The sequence below is a fragment of the Homo sapiens genome, chromosome 20 (assembly GCF_000001405.40).
Source record: "Homo sapiens chromosome 20, GRCh38.p14 Primary Assembly".
Taxonomy (NCBI): Eukaryota; Metazoa; Chordata; class Mammalia; order Primates; family Hominidae; genus Homo; species Homo sapiens.
In genome coordinates this window covers 37,592,455-37,603,459 of record NC_000020.11, presented here as the reverse complement: position 1 = coordinate 37,603,459, position 11,005 = coordinate 37,592,455, and the positions used below count along the sequence as shown (strand labels likewise).

At 46.8% G+C, this 11,005-nt stretch overlaps 1 pseudogene; it reads left to right on the top strand.

The window, feature by feature from the left end:
• GLRXP1 (glutaredoxin pseudogene 1) lies at positions 211 to 1,107 on the top strand (annotated as a pseudogene).
• The last annotated feature ends 9,898 nt before the right edge of the window (positions 1,108 to 11,005 follow it).

Below are 11,005 nucleotides of genomic sequence, written 5' to 3'. Positions count from 1 at the left end.
GGAAGGAAGGAAGAAACAAAGAAAGGAAGGAAGAAAGAAAGAAAGAAAGAAAGAAAGAAAGAAAGAAAGAAAGAAAGAAAGAGAAAGAAAGAGAGAAAGAGAGAGAGGGAGGGAGGGAGGGAGGAAGGAAGGAAAGAAGGAAGGAAGGAAGGAAGGAAGGAAGGAAGGAAGGAAGGAAGGAAGGAAGGAAGGAAAGAAGGAAATAAATAAGCTCAATACCCCAAGCAATGCCTGCAACTGAGGATTCCTCCCAGGGAGACCACAGCCCATTGGCATGGCTCAATAGTTTGTGAACTGCAAAATCCAGCCTGGGAAGCTGGTTGTGTTCATCAACCCCACCTGCCCATACTGCTGGAAGACCCAAGAGATCCTCAGTCAATTGCCCATCAAACAGGGGCTTCTGGAAGTAGTAGTAGTAGCTGTCAATATCACAGCTTACTAACCACACCAACGAGATTCAAGATTATTTGAAACAGCTCACAGGAGCAAGAATGGTGCCTCGAGTCTTTATTGGTAAAGATTGTATAGGCGGATGCAGTGATCTAGTCACTATGTAACAGAGCAGGGAACTGCTGACGTGGCTAAAGCAGATTGGAGCCCTGCAGTAACCACAGAGCAGGCCCCATGCTGATGTCTCTCCTCAAGAGCTGGATGGCATTGCAAATGATGACATCACTTCTTGGTGGATGAATTTGGGGGCACAAACAGCTTTTTTTCTTCTTTTGGCTCAGTATTTGAAAGTTGATCAACTTGTTCTTAACCACAGGGCCAAGAAGGTTGACGGACCATCTTGGTTTTCTTCTGGATGCGCTCTTTGGTTTTCAAAAGACTGTGACAAGTTCTGGCCTAGGATTCGCTCACTGACCCTCAATTGTTCTTTCTCTTTGGCACGCATTTCTTACTGTTCCCCATGTGTTGGCATGCCCCTACCTCTAAGCCGGTGTTTTTCAACTATGTTTATCCAGACTCCTTCTCCACAATGATGAATCCAGTTGGTTTTCTGCTACTGCCCATTAGCTGAAATAATTTCGCTGCTTGACTTTATGGAGTTGGTGTTATTAAATTAGTGGGTATTTTGAATGTGCTCTTTCAAACTACATGCATCTCTCCACTCAACCCCACCCCATCCCATCCTGCCTTGAGAATCACTGCTCTGAACCAGTGTTCTCCACCTTGTCCTCTCACAGATCTCATAGGAAATGTTCAACAATTCTGTGAAGAGTCTCAGGACCCAATTGGAGAAATATGAAAAGTTAAGCTTAGTTGGTCTTGGTATCACATGGATCAGAGGCATAATTGCAGAGGCTGTGATTATGTGGGACACGCTGTTATTTAAGATGACCATCCAGATAATCCTGAACACTGTGTATTTATTTGATTTAGAGTACCAACAAGAATTAAAGCACAAAATGTAAAATATCTGAGGAAAACTTACAGCCCCCACCCCAAGAGTGTATCTGCGAAAGAGCACCCCACACTTTGAAAACTAAGAATCCCTTATCATGAAGTTTGCCTGTTCTAGAATTGTAAGATTGTTAATTTCCTTCTTCAGTCTCTAGTGAGAACGCTTAATTTATTTTCTAATAAAAAAATACCTATAGATTGAAAAAAACAAAAAGAAAATGACCTGGAAGGGACAAGGCTGGAGGCAGGGTGACCAGTGAGGAGGCTGGTTCCATAATTCAGATAAGAAAAGATGATTTAGAATCTCACCTTCTATCTTAGTCCATTTTCTTTTGCTTATAACGGAATACCTGAAACTGAGTAATTTATCAAGAAAAGGAATTTATTTCTTACAGTTATGGAGGCTGAGAAGTCCAAGGTCGAGGGGCCACATCTGGTGAGGGCCTTCTTGCTGATAGGGACACTTCACAAGGACCCAAGGTGACACAGAACATCACAGGGAGAAGGGGCTGAGCATGCTAGCTCAGATCTCCTTCTTCTTATAAAGCCACCAGTCCCTCTCCCATGATAACCCATTAATCCATTAGCCCATCAATCCATTAATCCATAAATGGATTAATCCATTTATGAAGGCAGAGCACTCACGACCCGATCACCTCTTAAAGGCCCCACCTCTCAATACTGCCACATTTGGAATTAAATTTCAACATGAGTTTTAAGGGGGCAAATACTTAAAACATAGCACCTTCTAACCAGCTACAATACTGCCCAGCTGCCCACTCAGGATTACTGAGAACCCCAGAATCTTGTCCAGCCCAGTACTGTCCTCCATGTTGACTCTCATCAGCAAAGAGGAAATCCAGATATCACCTAGGTCTCCCGGAACTATACTCCTAGTAATGCTGCCAAAGATGGCACTTATGTCCAGGTGAGCATACGGTCTTTTTTGTACCTTTCTAATTATCCAAGTTATATAGGTATATCGGTCATTGTCCCATTGGAGAAATAGAAGGCCCTTAAGATATTTCAAGCAGAGAGGGACTGAATGCATAAAATTTATTACAAAATTGTTGGCTAGGAGAAGCAGAAGAGCAAACAGGAACAGAAGGTGGCACCCAATTATCAAGAAGCTGGTACACTCCATGCTTGGCCCACAGGCCAGCACTCACTACTGAGCTGCTGCAGGTGCTGCCACTGCCATTGAGCAGGAGCCACTCCCATGGTCACCAATGGAACCACTGACCCTGCTGGAACCCACACTTGTCTGTGGTCAACTGAAATTTCTACTGCTACTGCTGCCATGTTTCGTCTCTTGCTAGAACCTCCCGTTAGCAGAACCTACTGGCCCCAGCTGATGAGATCATCTGACAAATGTAGTTTGCAGACTTCTAGCCCCCACAATAACTGCAGAGAATGGAAGCCATGAGAGCCATCAGCAAATAATTGGTCCACAAGGTGTCCTCAGTCAACAAAGCAAATAATTGAAGAAACCCTTTGAAACCATAAAACAGAAGTGGATGAATTTCTGTCCCTGTAGCACCAACATGGGCGCCAGAACAAATCTTTGAGATGGATGAGCCTGTAGGACCAAGGTTTTCTGAAGTTTAAGGAGCAGCAAAACTCTTTCCCCAGAAGTGACAGCTATATATGTCCCAGAGAACAGCTCTCGTGAGGCCAGGGAGGGGACCTGTGGCACGCACATCCAAATCCTTCAGAGCAGCCTGCTCCTCCTCTCCACATTCCTCTTGACAGCCCCCAAAGGCATACACAAAACCATCTGAGAAACCGATGTCTGCCCAGATCTAAATTTATGAAGTTGACTGAGTAATGACGCAGACAGGCTAATACCATTGAAATAATTAATTCCTTACAGTTCCCAAGACAAGGGGGCATGCCACACCATGCAGGGCCACATGGGAATCACCAGGATTGGTCAGCAGGCAGGAGCAGGAGCAGCTACAGCCTACAGGTTTCCTTGGGAAAGGCAAAGCAGGGTAAATGGCTTGAGGATAGTTTGAATAATTCTGGTAGGTGGGAAGCATAAGGGATTTCCGTAGTTGTCTGGTGCCTGGCCCTGGGTTTATTTAGGACAGTGAAAATGATGGCTTGGTGCAAAAGAGTTGAATTTGATTTGATTTGATTTGATTTGATTTGATTTTTTTGAGACACGGTCTCGATTTGTTGCCCAGGCTAGAATGCAGTGACACAATCACAGCTCACTGCGGCCTCGACCTCTCAGACTCAAGCAATCCTCTTGCCTCAGCTTCCTCAGTAGCTGGGACCACAGGTACGTACCACCACACCTAGCTCATTTTTAAATTATTTATAGTGACTGGGTCTTCCCATATTGCCTAAGCTGGTCTGAAATTCCTGGGCCCAAGCAATCCTCCCGCCTCAGCCTCCCAAAGTGCTGGGATTACAGGCATGAGCCACTGCACCTGTCCTGAGAGTTAAATTTTTTAAAGTGGTTCAGAGCACGGACTCTGGATCACAGGGGAAATGTTGGCCTTGTGATTAATGGATGCCAAAGAGACAAGAACAGAATCTAAGAAAACACAGACAGGAAACCACTTTGAAATGACTAACCTTGTCTTATTCTCACGCATACACCCATTTTACAAATGGAAAAGGGAAAAGGACCTCCCCAGAGTTTTACACTGAGTTTGAGTTGAGATGAGGACTCAGGCCACCTCTTGTCTTCCAGCCCAAGCCCCTTTCCCTGGCTCCTTTAGGCTGGTAAGTGTTGGGGAGTATTTGCAAAGCTAAATAAATATTTCCCTTTTTGCTCTATGCTCCCCATGTTAGCTGTCTGCAATGAATCTCTAGTCCCTGTCAGCTTTCTTGCCCCCACGCACCACATGAGCCAAATCCTCTAAACACCACCTCTGCAGTAGGGGTTTCAGAAACCATTCTGGAACTGCTGTTTGTCTAAGAACCAGCTGTGCATGGTAGAAAAAGCACAGGCAAAATGAATGTACTAGAACTACACGTACCAACGTGTCTTCATCTCAGGATTATGTAAGTCCAAACAAGCAAGTTGCAGAATGACAGGTCCATCCGAGACCCTTGCTCATCAGGATTTTTCTGTCCCCCGTCTTAGAGAAGAGGTTCCCCCTGCCCCCATCACTCACACTCTGCCCATTCCCAGTGTTCTGTCCCTCAAGTCTCAGCCGTAATGTCCCTTCCCTAGAGAGGCCTTCCCTGACCACCCCATTTCAGTTGCCTCCCTGCAGATAATGTCTCTCTACAGCATATGTTTGCAATAGCAACTATTAGCTCGTTTATCTCCCCAGTGTCTGTTAGCTTCCTGAGGGCGGAACCATGTCTGTCTTTATTTCAACTTTATTTCCAGTGCTTCAAACACATAGGGCACTCAATAAGTGAGTGTTGAATGAATGAATGTGTGAATGAATGAGAGTAAGCTCAAAGAGGGGGAATTACTCAAGCCAAGGCTCCCCCGCCCCCACCCGTGGGCTCTTTCCCGAGCCCCTCCCTCCCCAGGAGTTCAGGCTCCAAGATGGGTTCAACCTGCCTTGGAGAGCTCCCTGGCCTTCTCTTTCCCTCTGTCTGAAGTTTCCCATCCCCTTGAAATGGGAGGGCCCAGGAGACCTCCCCACGACACCTGCCGCTGGAGAGCGTTCTCCCAAGGGAAAAAGGACGGGGGGCGGGGTGGGGGGACCTCCCCGCTCCACGACGTCCTCACACCAGGCCCTGCAGGGGGAGGGAGCGCGCGCAGCCCCCACGCCCACCGCCTCTGCGAAGCAGCCACTGCAATCTGCAGCCTGACCTCAATTAGCCCGGTGCCTAAGCGCGCCAATTACCGCGTCAATCACTGCGCCGGCTGCTGCAGAGGGGAGGTGGGGGAAGGAGGAGGGGAGAGGGCCTGGATAAGAGCAGCCCTGGCCGCCCTGGACTGGCTGAAACCGGTCTAGACCTGGGGACGCCACTGCTGAGACCCCTTTCTCTCCTCTAGCCCACCTCAGAGCTCAAGGGATCCCTCTCATCCCTCTCATCAATACTCCGGACTCATTCCAGACGGACTCCCCCACCAAACACCCACCCACCTCCCCATGCTCCACACTGCTCTGCGCAACTGTGCGTGCCTCAGTTTCCCCACCCACTAGATTGTAAACTCCGGGAGAAAGAATTGGTATCTTTTCTCTTGTACACCCTAAACACTTAATAGTAAAAGTAAGATAAATACAATAGCAAACCTATTATATGGGAATCAAAGTAATACCCCGGAAGAGAGGACTCTCCAGTGCCTGAAACACATGAGGCTAAAGTAAGATGTCCAGGGAATTACGGAGGATTGGCAAACAGTAAGTGCACCGTAAATGCTGTTATCACCTCCCTCCATTTATTCAAACATCTGATGACACTGATGCAGGACAGGCAAGCCCCAAAATTGGGGCTTAGCCTAAAAGGATTCTTGGCTTCACCCAGGAAAGAATTCAAGGGCGAGCTCGTTGTGTTAGTAACTTTTATTGAAGCCGCAGTGTAGGCAGCCACAGAGGCAGTACTGATCCTTGCAGAGCAGGGCTACCCCATAGGCAGCGTGCCCAGAGTAGCAGCTTAGAGCCAGTTCTACACTCTTATTTATACCCATTTTTAATTATACGCAAATTAAGGAGCAGTTGATGCAAAAATGTCTAGGATGAGGATAACTTCCGGTTTGTCCAGTGGTTGCCGTAAAAAGGGTCAGTAACTTCCAGCTGTTGCCATGGCAATGGTAAACTGACCTGGCGCACTGGTGAGCATATGCTACAGGGTGATGCTTTGTTTGGGGAAGAGCTTCCATCCCAGATCTGTTTTAGCTAGTCCTCAATTTGGCCCAGGGTCCAAGCCTGGCCTCTGGAGTCTAGTGCCGCCTTCTACTACAACACTACCTCTGTGCCAGGCTCTGGGCTGGATGCCGTGCCAGGGACCCAACCAGGAGGCTGGCCTGGTGCACACAGGAGGTCATGGTCAGCTGGTTTTGAATCGATTGTTGAGGTTTGTCTTCTCCACATCCTCATTTTTCAAGCCCTGATGCTTTTTTGACCTTGTAAAATATGAGATGGAGGCACGAAGATGGGACCAAAGATTGAGACACTTGGGTCTGAGCTCACTAAGGAGACAAAAGTTCCAGCCCCTATCCTTAGGAACACCCTGCTCTGCAGAGCAGAGAGTCAATTTTTTTTTTTTTTTTTTTTTTTTGAGACAGAGTCTTACTCTGTCACCCAGGCTGGAGTGCAGTGGTGCGATCATAGCTCACTGCAACCTCCACCTCCCTGGCTCAAGCGATCCTCTGGCCTCAGCCCCCTGAGTAGCTGGGTCCACAGGTGCATGCCACCACGGCCAATTAATTTTAATTTTTATTTTTTATGTGGAGATGGGGCACGGGGTGGGGAGTGTCTCTCTAAGTTGCTCAGGCTGGTCGCGAACCTCGGCCTTCCAAAGTGCTGGAATTACAGGCGTGAGCCACCAGCCTAGCCGGACAACATCCTGCTGACTGTGCAGGACAAAGCTGCCCTAGTTAGGTCTCCCCAACACTCTTTCTGTGTTCCTTCTCTGGTGCCTTTGGAACACCTCCCCTCGCCAACTCCCTGCCTCTGGTGCAGCTGTAACCATGAGGCTGCCCCACCATGACTGCAGCTGACCATTTAGAGTCCCCCATCAGCCTAGCCAAGTGATTGGCCCAAGGATGGACATGTGACCCCAGCAAAGCCAATCAGAGTTTGCCCTGGGATTACTATAGAGAAAGACGCTCTTAGGGTTGCTGAAGCGGGAGGTTGAGTCAGGGGTTGCTGGTGGCCGCTTTATTGGCCATAGACAGAGCCCGTTTGCATAAATGAAGCCAAGCCTGGGAAAGATGGGGAGAGAGACAGAGACATTGTTTGAGCCCCTGGTTCTCTCAGTTACTTGACACAACCAATTGAATCTTGCTCAAGGCAGTGGAAGTTGGGTTTGTGTCAGTTGCAACCAAGAGTCTTTTGCCTGTTTGTTTTGAGACAAGGTCTCCGTCACCCAGGTTAGAGTGCAGTGGTGTGATCTCCAGTCACTGCAACCTCTGCCTCCCAGGTTCAAGTGATCCTCCCACCTCAGCCTCCCAAATAGCTGGGACTACAGGCACATACCACCATGCCCAGCTAATTTTTCTATTTTTTGTAGAGACAAGGTTTTGCCATGTTGCTCAGGCTGGTCTCAAACTTCTGAGCTAAAGCAATCTGCCCACGTCAGCCTCCCAAAGTGCTGGGATTACAGACATGAGCCACCACGCCCAGCCCAAGAGTCTTTTACTTTCCAGAATTTCTTCATTGGGCACATCAAATTATTATTATCAAACACATAGACAGAGATGCTCTTAGAAGCTCTCAGGTACAAAGGTGATGTCCACCATTTTCTGTTCATTTGTGCTTTTATATCATTTCTACAGTAAGTATTACTTTTGTGATACCAAATAGCAATTGTTTTAAAACATACTTTACCTATGATTTGGGGACATAATGATGAGTCCCAGAAGTAGGTGCTGTATGTTTCTGTTCATGCAAGGTTCACGACCAGGCAAACTGGGTCTATTAGTACCAGAGGTCAGAAGGGTGGTTACCTCTGGGGGGATGTGGAATGGGAAGGGTGCAAGGGAGCCCTCAGGGTTGATGGAATCATTATCTTTACCTGGGTAAAAGTTACACAGGTATATGCAAATATAAAGAGTCATTGGCCAGGCACAGTGGCTCACGCCTGTAATCCCAACACTTTGGGAGGCCAAGGCGGATCACTTGAGGTCAGGAGTTCAAGAACAGCCTGGCCAGACATGGAGTGAAACCCCGTCTCTACCAAAAAAAAAAAAAAGCAAAATATTAGCTGGGCGTGGTGGCACGCACCTGTAATCCCAACTACTCAGGAGGCTGAGGCAAGAGAATTGCTTGAACCCAGGAGATGGAGGTTGCAATGAGCCGAGATCACACCACTGCACTCCAGCCTGGGTGACAAAGCAAGACTCCATCTCAGAAAAAAAAGGAAAAAAATGTCATTAGGTTGTATTTAAAGAAGTGTATATTTTACTGAGTATGTACTATACCTCAATAAAAATTTTGGAATAGAATAACATGTATTCATATCTCTGGATACCTTATAGCTCTACAAAGCTCCCTCACTTAGCCCACTATCCCACTCAAATTTCACATGAAGAATAAGAAATTTTTTCTTTATTAGGATTCTGGTATACAATAACAATAAAACAACTTATGTTGCCAAGCCTGATGGTATATGCCTGTAATTCCAGCTACTACAGAGGCTGAGGCAGGAAGACTGTCTTCGCCCGGGAGTTCAAAACCAGCCTAAGCAATACAGCAAGACACCTGTCTGAAAATAAATGAATACATAAATTTTTTTAAATAAGTAAACAAAGCAACTTACGACCAGGTGCAGTGGCTGACACCTGTAATCCCAGCACTTTGGGAGGCCGAGGCAGGTGGATCACCTGAGGTCAGGAGTTCAAGACCAGCCTGGCCAACCTGGTGAAACCCCATCTCTACTAAAAATACAAAAGTTAGCTGGGTGGGATGGTGAGCACCTATAATCCCAGCTACTAGGGAGGCTGAGGCAGGAGAATCACTTGAACCCGGGAGGTGGAGGGCTGCAGTGAGCTGAGATCACGCCACTGCACTCTAGCCTGGGCAACAGAGCGAGACTCCATCTCAAAAAAAAAGAAAAAAAAACTTAAGTAAAAAATTAAAATAATTGTAGACAAGATCATGGGGGCCACAACCTTCTCCCGTCACCACCTCTGGGAAGCCTTTCTCCCTGTGAGACCCTGCAGGGATTCTCACTGCCCCCACGATACTACGACTATGGCCGAGTAGAAGTGAATCAGTCTGGCAAACCTGACAGAGCTGCATCCTCCTCAAACAGCCTGGCATTTGGAACAGAAAAGCCCGCTTTCCCAGCAAAAGTGATTTCCAGTATTAATGGGTGGAAACTTCTCCTGGATTGATCCCCCTTTTCACAGGACTAATTATAGATTTATTAATATTTATAGGCCTCTAGTCACAGCCGATAGTTCTTGTTTGAGGACATTAAGCCTTATCTCACTACCTCCAGGAAGGGGCACTTGAAGCCAGCTCTAATTGGGTGACCTGCAATCAAGATAGAAGGGAAAAAATGACAATAGCTCGCCTGTTGCCATATATTAAAATACGGTCCGCCCAGCTTAATGATTATCTTTAGAATTAATAATCTTGCTAGTCCAGGTTTGGCCCTAATAGCAGGAAATTGTATTAAATACTTTGTTAAGAGCAATCAGGTTTTTGATAAGGCTAATGGCCCTGCCCCTGGCTGTTTCTCATCCCTGAGCTCTTGGTTTTCCTTCCCCAGCAAAATGCCAGTTTGTCCATATCCCTTGTCATCTAAAGTCACCATCACCTGGTGCTGTCTCCTGATGGGGCTCCTGCTGCCTCTCTCATCCCCATCCCATCCATCTTAGGTGCTGTGACATGATTCATCTTTGGAAGTTGCAGCTCTGGCCCCACCATGCCCCTACTCCACAATCTTCAGTGGCTCCCCATTGTCTACTGTATGAATGGACATCTAGCCCTTTGAAATTCAGTCCCAACTGCTCCATACTTTGTTCTCTGCAAGGACCCTAACCTTTAGCCACACTGGACAGTTCCTTTCTGTTTCCAGAACACACCTACAGTATCAGAAATAACATGGGCTTGGGAATTGGAGCGCCTAGAGTCAGATCCCACTGCCAATTGTTTAACCTTGTACAAAATGCTCAACTGCTTTGAGCCTGTTTCCTCATCTGCAAGATGGAGGTGATAATATTGTCTACCTCATATGGCTTGTAGTAAGGATTGTATGTGATCAAGCAAGCAAAATGTCCCAGCCAGGATCTGGTATACCCTGGTGCACAGTTAACACTTGTACCCACCCTCCCCTAATTCTGCAATTTTACATCCCTCTTCCTGGAGTGCCGAAGAATGCGGAGCTTCAGAGCTCAGGTATCTGAAAATTCAAACTCAGGCTTGGGTGATCTTGGGCAGGTGTCTTAATCTCTTTAAGTCTCACTTTCTTCTTCCATGAAATGGGTGCAATAGTCCCTATTACCTATTGCTGTTAGAATCTTTAAATAAGACCATATAGGTGAAACACCTATAGTACCTGGCACAGAGTAAATTCTCAGTAAATATTAGTTACATTGTTGTTACATTCCCAGCTATTAAAGCAGCATTCAAAAGTCTTCTCTTCCAGGAAGCCCTCCTGCACCTCCTTTTCTGACTCTGTCTTGTGATGTTTTGTACTCTCCATGAGGCATTTGGGTGCTTCCATCCTTCCCCTCGGCCACCCACAACTGGGCTTAGAGTATCCACGGATCAAGTTGTGCCTCTGTCTCGATGTTTTGGGTGCCTGGCATGAAGTTCGGCACAGAGCAGGTGTTCAAACGTTGTCTCAATGACAGTAGCTGCTGCTGAGCGCTGAATGCTCACTATGTGCCAGGCACTGTGGTGGGCACTTTCAAGCAATTAACTCGTATAACAATGGATTTTTAACATTCATAGCAATTAACAAGCAATTAATTCATTCCCTATGGCAATTAATAGCAATCCTTTCTTAC